Raw genomic sequence first — 18669 nt, 5'->3', positions numbered from 1 at the left:
TACAAGTGTGAGCTAAATGATGAGAACTTATGAACACAAAGAAGGAGACACAAGACACTGTAGTCTACTTGAAAGTGGAGGGTGGGAGGAGGGAGAGGAGCAGAAAAGATAACTATTGGGTACTGGGCTTAATATCTGGGTGATGAAATAATCTATACAACAAACCCTTGTGACATGAGTTTACCTATGTAACAAACATTCACATGCACCCCCAAACCTAAAAAAAAAAAAGGAGAGAGATTGAGAGAATAGCACATTATAATTTGTGAGATGATGAAACTAAAAAATCCTTGAGAAAAACTTATGGTTCCTAACTGCTTATATTAGAGAAGAAGAAAGTGAAAATAAACTATCTAAGCAACTAATTTGACAAGTTAAAAAAAGGTGCAATTGATTTTGCCAACAATGGCAGAGTAGGGAACTCTAAGGTTCCATACATCCAGCAACAAATGCTGGCAAAAACTGGTAGAATCAACTTTCACAGAACTAGGAAACACAGTGAAAAACTAACAACAACCAGGGGAAGCTTAATGAAGAAAGAAGCTGCTGCATTGTGGTAAGAGGGTGTTAGAGAATTTAAAATTGCCTGCTTGTCACCCCTCTTCCCCAGAGTAATGGTGGCCATGAAAATACTGTTCCAGTTTGCTAATGTCACAGGGGACAGTATAGACTTTATTCTTGAAGAGTTTTGGTTGTGTGTTTTGACTGTCTGGCAGCTCCCTGAAGGATCAGTGCAAAGTGTGCCTTTGTTTTACCTAACTTAGAATATTCCCAGGGTCCCTGAAGGATCAGTACAAAGTGTGCCTTTGTTTTACCTAACTTAGAATATTCCCAGGGTCATAGAGCTTCCTGAACCACATTTGCTAAAAAATATTTAAAGCCAAAGGAATTGTCCACAGCAGCTTGGAGCAGGTGATAACAGTCAGGACAAACAATAGATCAAGAATCCTAGGAAGAATGAGGTTGGGAAAGAAGATATATGGGGGAATAACAATTTTCAAAAGCACTAATATGTACAAGTAAATCAAAGAGATCAAATGCATACTCAGGACTGAATAAACTCTCAAAAAAAACATGAGAAGACCCTGAGCTTTCACCTCTGGGTATCTTAGAGGAAGGCAGAGAGATAAAGGGACAGAAAGAATATTTAAAGAAATAATGGCCAAAACCTTCCCAAATGACACAAATCTACACATGCAAAAAGCCTGATGAACTCCAAGGAGAAACTTACAGATATCCATACCAAGACACCATGTTACTAAATTTCTGAAAGACCAAAGACTAAGAGACAATCTTAAAAGTAACAAAAAAGAAATGACTTGTCATGTACAAGAGTGCCTCCATAAGATTGACAGTAGGTTTCTCTTCAGGAATTATGGAGGCCATAAGGCAATGGGATAACATATTTAAGGTGCTGAAAGAAAAATAATCCTGTCAATCAAGAATTCCATATCCAGGATTTACAGAGGCTCACGGTGGACAGGAGGCAGGACTAGATTGCAGCTGTCACTTAGATGGACAGAGCAGCATGTGGAGTCTTGCTTCATGAACTCTTGCTCCAGAATGACTGCAGGAATAAATCAGGAAAGCCGAGAGAACCCACAGACCCTCTGCAGGAAGCAGATTGTTCCTGCAAGACCTAGGAGACACCCCAAATCCTGTGAGTGCCCAAACTGTGAAAGTGGGAAAGGGAGATTGTCCACCCCCAAACACACACCGTCACTAGGTAACCTAAAGGTCTAGATGACAGGAGAATATTCTGACCATACCTGGAGCTAAGTCAATTTAGAGAGCCAAGTGAAATACAGGGGTAGAGGAAGCAGCAGGAAAGCCCTGTGGGCTCTGTGGGTCCCCTAACAAGCCATTTCTGCCTTGCCTCACAGGGGTCCTTGGGGAGTGCTGCCAGAGGCACTGGGAAAAGGCTACAAGGAGAAGGAAACCTCCAGCTGAACTTCGTAACAATTGCTACCAAACTAGAAGTCTCCTGGACAGAACTTGGGGGAGGGTGTGTATCTGGTATGCAGACTCCACAGGTGGGGAAGTACTGAAGCTCTACTTGCTTTCACAGCTGGGAGGCAGGTAGCCTGGGACAGGTTCTCAGCCCTGCTCACCCACTGCCTGGAAACAAACTCAGTGCTGTTGGCGGGGCATGGTGGGAGTGAGACCGGCCTTTTGGGTTGCTTGGGAGCTGGGTGAGGCCTGTGACTGCCAGCTTTCCCCAACTTCCCTGACAATGTGCATGACACAGCAGAGGCAGGCATAATCCTCCCAGGAACATAACTCCATTGACCTGGGAACCACACCATAATTACCCACAGCAGCTGCACTAAGACTTCCCAAGGAGAGTCTGAGCTCAGACATGCTTAGCCCTGTCCCCAACTAATGGTTCTTTCCTACTCACCCTGCTAGCTGAAGACAAACGGCGTATACTTATGGGTGTTCTAGGGCCCTGCCCACCACCTGATCCTCCCCATACTACCACAGCTGATGCTCTCTTAAAAACACCACCTCCTGGCAGAGGCCAACAAGCACAAAAATAATGCATTAAACAACCAAAAATAAGGAACTTCACAGAGTCCATTTCACCCCCCTGCCACCTGCACCAGAGCAGGTGCTAGTATCCATGGCTGAGAGACCCACAGATGGTTCACATCACAGGACTCTGGGCAGACTCTGGCAGTACCAGCCTGGAGCCTGGTAGACCTGCTCGGTGGCTAGATCCAAAAGAGAGATAACAATCACTAGAGCTCAGCTCTCAGGAAGCCACATCCCTAGGAAAAGTGGGGAGAGTACTACATCAAGGGAATACCCTGTGGGACATGCAACTAAAAAATGGAACAAAGGACTTAAGTGACATTTCTCTGAAGATGATACACAAATGGTTAACAAGCACATGAAAAAATGCTCACCATCATTAATTATTAGGAAAATGCAAACCAAAACCACAGAGATACCATTTCACAGCCACTAGGATGATTATAATTTAAAAAAGGAAAATAACAAGTGCTGGCAAGGATGTAGAGATGTTAGAACTCTTGTACATTGCTGATGAGAATATAAAAAGATGCAGTCATTGTAGAAAACAATTTTGTATTTACTTAAAAAGTTAAACATAGAATTATCATATGACCCAGCAATTTTACTCCTAGGTATATAGTTAAAAGAATAGAAACCAGGTTTCAAACAAATATTTATGTCTGATTGTTAATAGCAGCATCATTCCCAATAGCCAAAAGCTGGAAACAACCCAAATGTCCATCAGTGGATGAGCTGATAAATAAAACATAATATGTAATAATGGAGTATTATTTTTCAGCCATAAAAAAATGAAGTATTGATACATGCTGCAATATGGATGAACTTTAAACATCTTATGCAAAGTGAAAGAAGCCAGAAACAAAAAGCCACATATTCTACCATGATTCCATTTATATGAAATATTCATAATGGGCAAATTCATAGACAGACTCATGGTTGCTAGGGCTGGATGGGGGGTGTGGGGAAGTGACTGTTTAATGGTTCTGAGGTTTCCTATTAAGTTTCCTTTTGGGTTTTGGAGCTAGATAGATCTTATAGTTGACCACATTTTGAATGTACTAACTGCCGCTTAATTGTACACTTGGTTAATTTGATGAATGATATGTTATATAAATTTTACCTCAATTAAAATAAAAAGATGTTAGAAAAAGAATAATGGTATATAAATCAATTTAAATCAGAGGAAAGGAGATGAAGAAGACAAAAGCAGGGAACAAATAAAAACCCCAAATATAATAGAAAGGATCAATCAAGCCAGCTGAAAAAGTATTTGTGATATAAATTACAAGAAAAAAAAGAAGCCAAAAACAAACTATTTGATGTAAAAATCAGACATTCAACTATAGGTACAGTAGAGACAGAAAAAAATAGTATAACACTATTGACACATTTATGTCAGTAAATTGAATGCTTTAATAAAATGCACACATTCCTAAAAAATAACTTGCCAAAAATAATTTGAGAAGAAATAGAAAACCTGATTGTTTTTGTAACCCTAAAGAAGTGGAATCTGTTAGTGTAAAATATTCCTAGAAAGAAAGCATCAGGCCCAGATTGTTTTACCTGTGAATTCCACCAGGCATTCAAGAAACATCTCATTTTGGTCTTTTACAAAATCTTCTAGAGAATAGTGAAAGAAGGTATTGCCTAATTGATTTTATGAAGATACTATAGTACACAAAAGGCAAGATTTTATGAATTTCTTGTTCAAGATGCTTTGATTTGATTTTGGCTCTTTATGCCTCCAAAAATGCTCTCTCCTGGCCTTCAACCATAATGCTCCAATTTCCCATTTATTTATTTATCCTTTCGTTCAAAAACACTTGTTAAATGTCCGTAATGTGCCAGGCACCTTTCTAGGTGCAGTGAATAAAACAGATAAAAATCTTCCTTGGACAGAGTTTCCATTCCGGTGGTGGGATATAGGCAGTAAACATAGTCTGTGTTGGACTAAGGAAACTTGAGTTCAAAAGAGAACTCCTGGAAGGAGATATCACTTCAGGGGTCATCCGTGTAGAGACACTTTAAAAGCCCCAAGACATGATGATGTCCCTAAGTACAGAAGAAGATCCAAGCATTGATCTGAGGGGTAGGGACTCTATTAATATGAGAAATATTAATAAAGTCAGAAATAAGAGAAGGAACCAATAAAAGAGACTGAGAAGAAGCAATTCATAGGATCGAAGCAGACCAGGAGAGTTTGGTGGCTAGACACCAAGTAAAAAAGTATTTTCAAGAAGAGGGAGTGGCCAGTTGTGTTGAATACTACTGTCCGTTCAAATAATCGACCCTCGGTTTAGAATATGAAAGTTACTGAAGGGTACTTAAACCAGAGCCACTTTACTGGCAGAAGCCTGGCTAGACAATTTGAATGGGAATGGGAGAAGAGGAATTGACTACAGTGAGTATGGACAATTACTGCAAGAAGTTTTCCTCTAATGGGTGGTAAAGAAATGCAGTGCGAGATGGAGGGAAAAGTGGGATGAATAAGCTTCTTCTTTTTCGTTTGTGTTTTCAGTGTTTGAGAAAGAACAGCATGAAAAATGTGGATTTTAATAATCAGCAGAAAGAGAAAACTTAATCGGGGTTGGGGGAAGATTTTTGGAGCGAAGATCTAGAGTAGGTAAGAGGTGGTGGTGTCTAAAACATGAGAAGATGGTTTAACCTTGTCACATGGAGAGTTTACTCATACTTTTCAGGTGAGAGGCAGGGGATATGAATGCTGATATTGGCAGCAAAGGTATAGAGAGGCCAGGGAGTGAGGACATTCCCTTCTGTTGCTTCAGCTTTCTCAGTGGAGTAGAAACAAAGTCATCTGGTTGAGGAGAGGATGAAAGAGGAGGTGCTAAAAAGTTAGAAGAGAGAGAAAGTAAGAAAGAGTTCAGGGCAGTGCGAGATGTAGGATGAAATACTGCTTTCTTATCCTGTGAAAATTGCGAATATTTAAAAAATTCTAATGATAATTTTTGGAGAATTCAATGAACCGTAAGGGAATAAGCATATGGTTGCTGGGTAGAATCTGTGACTTATTTGAGTTCTAGGTTATTAAAGTAAGGAGAGAGAGACCTTATGTCTACAAAAATAAAAAATACAAAAATGAGCTGATTGTGGTACTGCATGACCATAGTCCTAGCTGCTTGGGAGGCTGAGGCGGGAGGATCACTAGAGCCCAGAAGTTCCAGGTTGCAGTGAGCTATGATGGCACCACTGCATTCCAGCCTGGGCAACAGAGTGAGATGCTGTCTCTAAAATAAATAGATAGATAAATAAAGTAAGTAAGTAAGTAAGCAAGGAGAGTAGGTAGGGTGTGTGTGTGCATGTGTGTGTTTGTTTCCAGCTTTGTTCGCCAGTGTGGGTACAAAGAGAGAAAAAGCAGGATTTTACCAGGGTTGTAGTTTTGCCAGTAATATCATGAAAAGAGGCAGGGTGAAGGAAGTTGAGGATGTGCAAAAGAGACTTATAAAAATGACTGTGGAATTCAATCTGGGTAAGGAGAGAAAAAACAGATGAAGATGAGTATAGCATAGTACCTGCTGTAAAGGAATTCACAGTATTGTGTGTCAGACAAACACATAAATAGATACCTTTATTATATTGTATTATTATATGAAGACTAGAGGAGACGGGGAGGGCAGAGAGGTTGTTTCAGGGAGGAGGGAGTGATCAGATGTGTCAAATTCTGCTGACAGCTTAACCAAGATGAAGACTGAGAACTAAACATGGGTAAGTTATTTGTGTAAATTATTCTTACTCAAAATATAAAAACTAGAGGAAAGTAGAAAGTTGGGAGATGACAATCTTATATGTTTTATCACCATCAAAACAACTCTTATTTACATTATTAAATGATCCTTCTCATCCCTGTCTTTAATGTGAGGCTTCACTTTTTTATATAGCTGGAGTTTATGGTGCATATATAATTTTCTATTCTGCTTTTTATTCATGTTGAGATTTTTTTATACTATTACAATTTTATTGTCAATAGTTTTTAATGGAACATAATATTATTTGTGTGGATTTACCATCTATTATTTAACTGTTCTTTCAATGCTGGATATTTAAGTTGTTTACGGTTTTCTGTTGTTATAAATAGCCCCGTAATGAAAAGCTCTTTGCCAAAAGCTTTATCAGCAGTTTTAGATGACTTCCTCAGGGGAGAGTATCAAAACCTTAACTACTGTTTCAAAGAAATGAACATTTGAAAACACTGTTTTAGGATTTTTGAAACTAACTAATCAAGCACTACTTTTCATAAGCCCCATTCTGTTTTATCTGGATTCTGAGCAGATAGCTCTCACATTTTCAGCTCTTATATTCTACTAATCACTTAATTTATTCTTTGGAGGGAAGGCATAAGGTATGTAGAAACAGATGTATTTCCAAACATATATTGATGTATTCATTTATTAAGGTCAGCAAAACAGAGGAGGGGAAGAGGGCTCCAGGATAATAAACAAGAGAGATGGCCCTGCCAAGAATGGCACAACAAATTTGCCTTTATTTTAGCTGTGTCTTCTGGGGTGGTCTCTTCTCCAGCATGGTCATCTCTGCCTCCACACATGGCTATGAATGGAGACCAGGGAGGGGATAGAGTCACCCATGAATCATTCCTCAGGTGCATGACCCTGATGAGGGCCAAGGGAGTGGAGAGACTCTCTTGAGGTTTTAGTCATCATCTGTTGTTTTTGCCTACCCTAAAAATATTTCTTCTTCTAATAACACTATCTCAATTATCTTTCCCCCAACCAGGTCTTCATCCACATGGTTTAGGTGGTGGTGACTCTCTTTCTCCTTAACCAGGGTTATCTTATGACCTAGGGCTGGCCAGAGTAGTCCATCCATGGCCATAGTGACTGGTTACTCACTCTAAGGGTGGTGTAAGCCTAGTGCTACTGAGGTCCCTTGTGGGGAGATTGCATAACACCATCTCAGAAAAAAGTACAGCCAAGAGGGCAAGCTAAGAGAGAAAAATATAAGGCCAATAGGAGGTGACAGAGAACACACTTGCAGGTAACACGGGTTTTCATGGAGACTGAAATCTGTTAATTATTATCAAACTTTGTGGTCATTTAGACCACCTTCTTGAGAAACACTGTCCTCTGAGGACACTCGCTCCATCTCAGTATTGAAGAAATCATCAATCTAATCTCACATAATGGGATGCTGCTATTTCAACATCCAGATCTCCCTTCAGAACAAGCACCTTTAGTGCTTTTTCTCTTGTGAGTTTTGAGAAGACTTACTTTTCCCAACCAAAGAAAAGATTATTTTTGGAGTAATAGAGGTTTTCCTTGCTGATTGCCACTCCCAGTCTGTGGGCCTGGAGAGGGCAGGTTAGATTTGAGGAACTTATACCTTAGTGTTTTTTTTCAAAGCTTGAAATGTGTTAATATTTTCGACCCTATCATCCATGCTGTTCAAGACACATATCTGGAAGTTGAGGCCTGCCTGTTTCTCCATTCCCATCCATCAGTCATCATCTGTTTTCTAAAAGCTTTTTGAATGTATCCACATTTATTGCCTTGTTTGGTTTAGAGTAGCATTCTCAATTCTTACCTTGCATCACAACTATCTGGGGACCTTTAAAAAATTGATACCCAGATGTCACTCTTAAATACAATTTATCTGGAATGATATTCAACATCTGTAGTTTCAAAAGCTCTTCAGCCATCTCTAATATCTAGCTAAAGTTGAGGACCACTGGATTTGAACCTAACTTTAGATCTTCATCATCTTTTCAGGGCTATTAAATTCGTTTCCTAAGTTGTCAACCTGCCTCCTCCAATCTGGTTTCTTTCCCATCTGTCCTCCATTCATTTCCAGGGGAATATTTGTAAAACACCAATCTGATTCTGTCACTCCCATGACTATGACTCCTCTGTGACCCTAACCTCTGCATAGCTTTAAAGACAACCTCATTGTCCATCTCCTCAATATCATCTCTGTCCCTTCCCCCTCCCAGTTTTCTATAGCAGTACCAAAGTAGTCCTCGGCATTCGTAAGAGAAATATCTCAAGACAGTTGTGAAACTCCATTTTCTGGAAAGTCATGTAATTTTATCCCATAGAAGGCCATAACTTATAATGGAAAAACTGTGACTTCCACACAGATTCTATAAATGCAAAAGTAATGTAATTTAAATAGCAATGAGTGTACTTTGTCATGAAAAGATCCTCCACAAAAATATTGCATTACATCTCTATGATAGCACTGACCAAGAGTGATGAATGATGTTAATTATTCCTATTGAGTCCACATTTATATACAGGTGTGATCATGAAAAGCCGTCTCTTCACAAAGAGAATCTAAATTCTGCAAAGAAAAATATTTCCTAAAAATTTGAACTAACTTTTATTTTGCAGGATAGGCTATTGCAAAGCCTTGATAGTACTTTTGCTCTGCAAGGATTCATTTTTTCTTTTTCTTTTTCTTTTTTTTTTTTTTTTAAGACAAAATCTTGCTTTGTTACCCAGGGTGGAGTGCAGTGGCGTGATCGTGGCTCACTGCAACTTCCACCTCCCGAGTTCAAGCAATTCTCCTGCCTTAGCCTCCCAGTAGCTGGGATTACAGGCAACCGCCATCGTGCCCGGCTAATTTTTGTATTTTTAGTAGAGATGGGGTTTCACCATGTTGGCCAGGCTGGTCTTGAACTCCTGACCTCGTGATCCACCCACTGTGGCTTCCCAAAGTGCTGAAATTACAGGCATGAGCCACTGCACCTGGCCTGCATGGATTCTTAAATGAGTCAGTGACCTGTTAACACTCTGTTAACCACCGTTTCATCATTCATTTGTCTAATTTTTAAGTTGATGAGCAATTTTTGAATTGGTTCAAGAAATTATTAAAACAGCTTCACAAATCACCTTTACTTTTACCAAGTGCTGTATTCACATGCAAACTTTTAGATGTGTTAATATTTTTCTTCTTTGTCATTTATCCAGAACTCTCTTTTCTGTCCAAGAACTACCAATTTCACTCTTAACGGCCACCACCATCATTAGGAATTAGCACCCCTTTGTGGCTACTCATTTTGTGAGTGAGCATGCATATGTGCTGATAAATACCTGAACAGAAGTCTAGTTGAGATGTGACTGCTGGTGGTCCACAGCCTCATTTGCTTGTTTAGTGATGTGTTATACACCCTACCTTTCAAGCATGAGTGAGTCAAATTCAGCCTCAGTAAAATTAAAATTAATGAAATGTCATAGAGCTCTGGTATCACAAATAGGGCAGTCCAAAAGCAACCGTGGAAATTCTCCCCAGGTTGCCTGCATGATGAATGAGTGAGGACAATGAGTTTTCCCCATGTCAGGAGGTGGGGCTGCACCTGATCTCAACTTCCCCTGAATCTTAAGCTGGCAGTGGGTGGCTTTCCTAAGCAGCTAAACAAATGACATCAAAATCATACCCTCTGGTGCCCAAGTGGTCCAGTTCCTGCCCCCACCACTAGCTTCCCCTCACTGGTAAACTTGCTTTATCTACTGATATATTAGAAAGTTGAGCAACTTCTTGATGAGTGAGAAAGGGAGCTGGGCCCCTCTTGCAGAAGGTACACTCATGACCTGTTCCAGCATTCCCCAGAGTGCGAGATCAGAGAAATGTGTCCTTTCTTTTCTTGCTGACATTTTCTGTGTCAGTCTCATCAAAAACCCTGTCTTTAACTCATAACCAGTGAGGTGAACTTCAACCGGAGCCCTGTTACATGATAGACTTTTAGTATCAGTTGTGAATTCTACAAACTGAGAATTCCAAGTGTTGCTATTTTTTTTTTTTTTTTTTTTTTTTGAGATGAAGTCTCACTCTGTCACCCAGGCTGGAATGCCGTGGAGCCTGGCTAATTTTTTTTGGTAGAGATAGAGTTTCGCCATGTTGGCCAGGCTGGTCTTGAACTCCTGACCTTAGGTGATCTGCCCGCCTTGGCCTCCCAAGGTGCTGGGATTACAGGCATGAGCCGCTGCACCTGGCCTTGTGTTGCTTATTTTTATTATGATGCTACATTGGCCCATGCTGTCTTGTGTTCCTCTCTTTTCACACGTTCTATTCATCTGCCTATAATTTCTCCTTCCTTTGGCCATGTGGAAAACTTCATTTGTCCTTCAAGATTTATCTGTGCACTATTAACCCCTCAGCTCCTGGCCCTCATCTAAAGTAGTGAAAAACCAATCTCTCCTTTGTGCTACTGAAAGATGCAACTTACCTACACAGTTCTCAGCACTGGGGCATTGTTTTCCAAGATTGGCCCACTCTCTAGGAGCCAGCGATTTACCATACTATTTATTTTTTCTTGTAAAATCACTTCTTTGAATTACATAAGTAATACATATTGGTGGAATAATTAGAAAGTACCAAAAAGCAAAATGTAACCCAGGGGTACTTTTAAATATTTCATTGATACCATTTTAGGTTTATTTAATAAAAATGGCCTAATGCACTACCAATTTCTTAAAACCTACTTTCTTTTCTTATTGGAAAATTTGGTAACTCATTGTTATTTTTATTTTCATTTATTTAGTTTTTGGCAAAATTAAACATTTAAAACAGGTTTACTGGTGAATTGCATTTTGTGTGTATCTTACTTGTTCCTATATTTGTATTTATTCTTGTATTAAGTATTTATCTTCTACTTATTGATTTGTAGAAAGTCCTTTTTTAGTGAGTATATTAACTCTTGATCAGCTATGTAAATATTATTTATATTCTAAACATTTAAATCCGTTTATAATTCTATTTGTATTAAAAAAATCTTTACAATTTAAATTTTGTAAATTTTATATTTTGCAGTAAAATCTGTTAGTCTTTTGTAAGGATTTCTGCCTTGGTATCATGCTTAAAAAATCTTTTTCTATGCGAGTTATTGAAATTCTTTTCCTAAAAATAATTTCATGGCTATATTGGAAACTTTAACCTATTTTACTATATTCTCTCCTGCCCCTCTCCTCTCCTACTTCCTTTGGTGAATGTTTATTAGGTTTCCATTCTGTCCAGGCACTCACTTTTTTTTGGTACTGAAAATGCAGTCAACAAGGATGACATGGTTCCTGCCTCCATGGAGTTAACATTCTAATGAGAAAAACAGATAACAGACACACAACCAAATAGATATAGATTATAATGTCACAGAGTGATAGTTGCTATAATAAAAAATGAAGAGGGAGGAGCTTGAGAATTAGGTGGGGTGTGTCATGCACATGAGCCAGAAGGCTTCTGTATATTACTCCTGGGTTTATGACTTCTTCATAGTAGGCTGAGATCTGTTAGCTTAAATGCCCACTAGCACCACGCTCAAATTTTTACACATCCAATTGTTTTAAACATAACCAGATAAACAGATATTTAACCATTGAGAGCCTTCCTGCTTTGCATACTCTACACACCTATGTCCTACATTTGCTAGCCATAGATAAGCCCCAAAGTTATAAAGACCCCAAGACACTGCTATCCTTTAAAAGAACATTGAGCAGAGATCAGAAACAGGCTCTGAGGGAAGACTGTTCAGGCCAGAGGGAACAGCAAGTACAGAGGTCTTCAGGCAACACAGAGTTAAGTGTGTTCAGAAAAGCAGGAACATCAATGTGCTGGAGACATGATCCCTTTTTTCTCTATTCATTTCAAATGCACTTAAAAAAATCCTAGGTTCTTATATATATTTGATTTGTTTCTGACCATTAATTCTGTTCCCTTACCAGGAACATTGAATGGATTTTCAATTATTAAAGTTTTAAAATGTCACTCAGTAAACTTGTGCGATTTTCTTCATGTAAGTCATCACAATTCTTTTAAAATTTATTCATGACCAGGCACGGTGGCTCATGTCTGTAATCCCAGCACTTTGGGAGGCCATGACACTCAGATCACCTGAGGTCAAGAGTTCCAGACTAGCCTGGCCAACATGGTGAAACCCCATTGCTACTAAAAAATAAACATTGAGCCAGGTGTGGTGGGTGGGTGCCTGTAGTCCCAGTTACTTGGGAGTCTGAGGCAGAAGAATCACTTGAACTGGGGAGGCGGAGGTTGCAGTGAGTTGAGATCGTGCCATTGCACTCCAGCCTGGGTGACAGAGCAAGACTCTGTCCCCAAAACAAACAAAAAAGTTTGTTCATATGCATTTTGTATTTTGATTGTTCTTGAATATTTAATCTTTTGTTTTTTAAGATTGTATTTTCTAATTGGTTATTGATAGTGTACAGAGAAGCTAGTTGCTTTTTATATTTGTTGGTTTTATAATCATCTTCTTTAATTACATGTCTTATTAGGCCCAATGATTTTTCAAAAACAATCTTGTTTTTTATTCTTAATCATATCATTTCCAAATTGATAATTTCATTTTTTCAGTTATATCTTTTATTATGTTGTTTCCTTATTGAGTTGAATTAGCTAAATTACTCAGATAAATTCTTTAGTCACTGTTAATAAGAGCCATAGATACAGACTCTTTGTATGTGTTCATTGATCTTTTTGATTTTTCTCATCTTTCCAGAGGGGGTCAATTTTTTCATGATCTTTCAATCTTGTGAAATTCAGGGATTCAACCCCTCTCTGGGATTGAATATGCTTTGACTTTTTTATTCACAATGAGATGGAAATTTCAAGGCACAAAGGGGAAAACTGAGAACAATCAAGGGGTTTCCCTCGTCTTCACTCCATCTCAAGTACAAGGCCAAGCAGTCTGTAGGCATCACTAGCACTGCAAGTACCCTTTGTGAGGTTCTCAAACGGTGAAGGTGGTTCTGGACTGTGGGTTGATAAGGCTTCCTGGGAGAGGCTCAGAAGGGGTTTGTTCAGAGCTGAACCTCTGAGTGGGTGATGACTATAGCAAAGAAGAGCTGGGAGGGGTTTGGATTCCTGTATTAATGTTCTTAGGTCAGAAATTGTGGGTCCACTATAAATTCTAATTTAACTTTCATTCTTCTCTTGGGAGCTGGAGGAGTAAATTTCTCTCTATTATTTAATAGAAATATAAAAGGTAAGCAGAAATGCTTTCTAAACAAAAAGGGGCTGCAATGAAAATTTACAGACATTTAATCTTCTCTCTTTGTTCCCATTTACAGCTTATGTGAGAAGAAACGCAGGGAGACAGTTCAGTCACTGCAATCTTCATGCCCATCAGTTTCTTGTGAGAAGAAAACAAGTACGTATAGCTATCATGGGTCTGAAGCCCATCAGAGGGGTTATTCCCAAGGGTCTTTCATAATACCAAACTGGTAACTGAAATTATTTTCTTCAGAGATAATGTCACTCCTGTTTAATTGCTTGGATGGTTCCTGAAAAACCTCAGGTGAACAGACAAAAGGAGGGGGAGAATTTTCTCCAGTTCCATTTGGCCAGATCAAAGTCCAGTTATTTTTAAAGATTAAGGCAAGAGCGTCTGCTCTACCTGGAGCTTCTGAGCTTTGTCGGGGGATGAGGCACTGCACGCCTCTCTAGTTAGCATCACTGGCTCAGGTGGGAACTGGCTCTGCCAGCGTGCACCCCACATCATGTACCCAGCTCAGCCCAGCCCGCCTCCAGCATGCCTCCTTGGCCCAGAATAGATTGGGAGGATGTTCTGATACCCTGTTCCAGCGACAGGGTCTGGTGCATTTCCTCTGTAACTGGCACCTTGTACACCTTTTATTTCCAGCTCTTGGTTTGGGGGTTGAGAATGAAGTTTTGATGGGTATCTCTTCCCATCTCTAAATGACGAGTTAATGGGTGCAGCACACCAGCATGTCACATGTATACATATGTAACTAAACTGCACATTGTGCACATGTACCCTAAAACTTAAAGTATAATAATAATAAAAAAAACTTACACCTCAAAAAAAAAAATAAAGGCAGTTTTTTGTTTTTCTTCCCAGATGGTGGTTTTCCATCTCACCTGTTCTGAATCTGGCAAGAAAGCCTCAGGTTTTTTTTTTAACCATATGGATAGCACTCTTTCCTATCATCAGGGATTTTTAAAAAATCATTTCCTCCACTTTTATGTTATATTATTTCAATAACGATCTTTGGGAGAATGGCAGTTACACTCACATAGGCTCAATTAGTCAAGTTGAAGTGGAAGAAAGGGCACTTTAATGTGTGGTGAGGTGCTCCCAATCCTTGTATTTAATAGACTGCTCTCAGCTCAAGGCTTTATACAAATAAAAATGATCTGTGAGATTGACTGAGTGCATATGCAAATCAGAAGAACCACATGCTCTTTACTGATGTCATGGATTCAGTCATCTGTTCATTCACTTGCTTATTTGTTTGTTGACTGAGTCACTTAAGAGTATTGTTGAGAATCATGATCAGCACCGGATGACAAAAGTGAACAAGATATTGTGGTGGTTGCTACATGAACTTATCCAGGTAGCAAAGTGGTGTCCAGCTATACACACATTGTACATACATCATTGTCCTGATTTTGATATCAAACTAGAGTTACGTTAAATGTTATGCAAAAACCATTGAGGGAAACTTGGTCAATAATACATCAGGCCTCTTTATTTTTGCAATTTCCTTTGAATTTATTGCTTTTTCAAAATGACTTTTTAAAAAGTGAACAAGATAAACATGATCACCCTCCTGGAGATCCTGTTTATAAATGAATTTTAAAAGGCTGCACATGTGTTTGAAGATAGCCTCCACTCCTTTTGATCTCCCAGCTTTATTAAAATATAATTGGCAAATATGCATCATTAAAAAAAACACCTTATTTTTCAGAGCAGTTTTAAGTTCATGGCAAAATCGAGTAAGTGCAGAGTTTCTATATACTCTCTGCTCCCACACATGCACAACCCCCACTCCCTGCTCTCAATATCCCATACCAGAATGGTACATTTCTTACTATTGATGAACCTGTATTGACACATCATCATCACCCAAAGTCCATTGTCTACATTAGGGTTCACTCTTGGTGTTGTACATCCTATGGGTTTAGACAAATGTACAATGACACATATACACCCTTATAATAACATATGAAATAGTTTCACTGCCCTAAAAATCCTCCATGCTCTGCTGATTAATCCCTCCCCCTCCCTAATCCCTGAAAGCTGCTGATTTTTTTTTTTTTTTTTACTGTCTTCATAGTTTTGTTTTTTTCCAGAATGTCATATACTTGGGAATCATAATATGTAGTCTTTGCAGATTGACTTCTTTCAATCAGTAATATGCATGTAATTTTCTTTCATATCTTCATGGTTTGATAGCTCATTTTAGTGCTGAATAATATTCCATTGTCTGGATGTACTATAGTTTGTTTTTCCATTCATCTACTGAGGACATTTTGGTTGCTTCCAAGTTTTGGCTGTTATGAATATAACTACTATAAACATTCATGTGCAGATTCTTGTGTGGGCATGAGTTGCCAATTCATTTGGATAAATACCAAGAAGTGTGATTGATGAATTATATGGTAAGAGTATATTTAATTTTGTGAGAAACTGTCAAACTGTCTTCCAAAGTGACAGTCCTATTTCGCATTCCCACCAGCAGTGAATGAGAAATCCTGTTATTCCACAGCCCCACCAGCATTTGGTGTTGTCAGTGTTCTGGATGGTGGCCATTCTAAAAGATGTGTAGTGCTATGTCATTGTTGCTTTAATTTGCATTCCCTGATGACATATGATGTGGAGCATCTTTTCATATGTTCATTTGCCATCTGTGTATCTTTATTGGTGAGGTGTCTGTTCAAGTCTTTTACCCATTTTTAATTGGGCTATTTGTTATCTTATTGTTGAGTCTTAGGAATTCTGTTATATTTTGTACCATAGTTGTATTAGTCTGTTCTCATGCTGCTAATAAAGACGTACCTGAGCCTGGGTAATTTATAAAGGAAAGAGGTTTAACTGACTCACAGCTCCACATATGATTTAGAGGTCTCTCAATCATAGTGGAAGGTGAAGGAGGAGCAAAGTCATATCTTACATGGCGGCAGGCAAGAGAGCTTGTGCAGGGGAACTCCCATTTATAAAACCATCAGATCTCGTGAGACCTATTCACTACCACAGAAACAGTATGGGGGAAACTGCCCCCATGATTTAATTATCTCCACCCGGCACCACCCTTGACACGTGGAGATTATTACAGTTCAAGGTGAGATTTTGGTGGGGACACAGCCAAACCATATCAATAGTCCTTTATCCGATGTCTGTCTTTTGCCAATATTTTCTCCCAGCCTGTGGCTTGTCTTCTCATTCTCTTGATCCACTTTCTTTTTACTAACAATCTGGTGAAAACAGCTGGTATGGGGCGGAAAAGAGTCTCTCCACTAGATTTTGCCCACATTCTGGGGACCTCACTATGTTCTTAACTACAGGAGCAGTTCTGTATGAGGGCTGTGTTTGGGAGCACAGGCTCTGGGATGCGTTAACTTATATATGAGTCTTGCCTCAACTGTCTATGAGGTGTGCAGCCTGGGTAGATTACCTAGTGTCTCTGTCCTTCAGTATCCTCAATTGTAGATGTCTCAAAACCAACACTTACCAACTAGAGTGGCTGTCAAGATAGCGTGATCTTATCCCGGTAGAGGATTTGGGACAGTTGATGGGACATAGTAAATTTTACATAAATGTTATTATGGGTATTCAGACAAGCATTGTGACATCCATTTTGGCTATAGTATCTTAATTAATAAGTTTCAGTTTTACAAGTATTTTCCCTTCTTGGAATATATGTGATTTCAGCAATGGTTATGAAAGTTGTATCTGCATTCACCCTCTGGCAGCAGTGTTCTGAGAGCTCTGTGTGTGTGTGAGTGTGTGTGTGTGTCTGTGTGTGTGTGTGTGTGTGTGTGTGAGTCTGTGTGTGTGTGGGTACTTAGAAGGGTTTCAGAGGTCCCTTTCCTTTTTTGCTCCTTTTCCATGTAGAAATTAAATGGATCATCCATTTGGGTAGCTTGGTAACACTTTGCTGTCTATTACCGTTGAACATCTCCCTCATCTCACCCCACAGGCACAGACATTTGCGGTTTTATTTAATCACTCTTTTCCAACAAAATGAGGACTTTGCTACATACTATGATACTATTTGTTTTGTACTTTCCATGTAATATAATGATGGTAGTTATCACTCCCATTTATTGGTCACCTACTGTAACCTAGATACTATGCTAAGCACTTTTCTTATATCACCACTCTCCATTTTAAAAACAGGTAAGGTGAGGCTTAGCCAGTGAATTGACCTGTCAAGTTCACCCAGCTCATTAGACATAGAGCTGGGATTTTACCCCAAATTCTGTGACTCCACGCTCTTCACCACTATGTGCAGACCACCAGATACTCCACTCCAGAGATTCTCAAAGCATAGTCCCAAAAGCACATGAGGAGGAATAACTTTGAAGGGGGAATTAAAAGAAATCCATCTTCCTGCGTCCCACCTCAGATCTAGGAATCAGGCTGTCGTCTTTCTCTCCCTCTCTGAACCCACCTTTTCCTCACAAATGTTTCACACTTTATCAGAAGGAAGAAACCTTTCCGATCCTGGGAGGAGAGAACAGATGTCAGGAAGTAAAGCTATGTGGGCTTATGGGTAGAAATGAATAAGTTTACATCCAACTATGAACAAAGGCTGCCAAACTCTAGGGAGAAACTTATATAACATGCATTCTTTCTCCAGAGTTCTTAGGTTTATTTTTCTGAATCTGTTTCTGTGGCAATATGGCTACACTGTTCAGAAGTTTTCCTTTATGCTAGCTATAGTGTTTTTCAATATCTAGTTATAGGAGATAATAAAAAGAAAGTCAATATTAATTATGCTTTTGGAGAAATGAGCTAGTAATTCAGGTTTGGGTGATTTTGAAAGCAAAGGTGAAAGTGAAAGTATAATGGATGATTTCCTTTCTTGATAACAACATATTTATTTAAAATAAAAGACTAACTCAGTGTGGAAGATAGATGGGTTTCGGTTCAACCAAATGGATAATTTTTCTCTCTGACCTCTGTAGAAATTGAGTTAGCTTCTTCATGTGATTGTTATAAAGACAGTGATATATTCATAACAGAGCCTGACAGATGGTAACAAACATTCATATTATTTTATTATAATTATTATCACTATTATTGTTATAAATTATAGCTGATAAAAAGTGCTGAGCGGGGTGCAGTGGGGGTGCACACCCAAAGCCCTGCTCCGGAGGCTGAGATGAAGGGATTGCTTGAGCACA

General features: G+C 39.1%; 1 protein-coding gene and 1 long non-coding RNA gene across 8 annotated transcripts in view; one reads left to right on the top strand and one right to left on the bottom strand.

The window, feature by feature from the left end:
* NPSR1-AS1 (NPSR1 antisense RNA 1) overlaps positions 1–18669 on the top strand; it is a 487820-nt gene that overhangs the window by 91929 nt on the left and 377222 nt on the right. For all 3 annotated transcript variants that reach the window (NR_033665.1, NR_033664.1, NR_015356.2), the window contains one exon: positions 13587–13666. This is a non-coding gene — a long non-coding RNA (NPSR1 antisense RNA 1). The remainder of the gene's footprint in view (positions 1–13586; positions 13667–18669) is intronic.
* NPSR1 (neuropeptide S receptor 1) overlaps positions 1–18669 on the bottom strand; it is a 220115-nt gene that overhangs the window by 135930 nt on the left and 65516 nt on the right. The gene's annotated exons all lie outside the window — the stretch shown is intronic.

Source organism: Homo sapiens, chromosome 7 (genome assembly GCF_000001405.40).
Source record: "Homo sapiens chromosome 7, GRCh38.p14 Primary Assembly".
Classification (NCBI taxonomy): Eukaryota; Metazoa; Chordata; class Mammalia; order Primates; family Hominidae; genus Homo; species Homo sapiens.
Note: the sequence above shows the minus strand (reverse complement) of the source record. Positions and strands in the feature narration are given on the sequence as shown.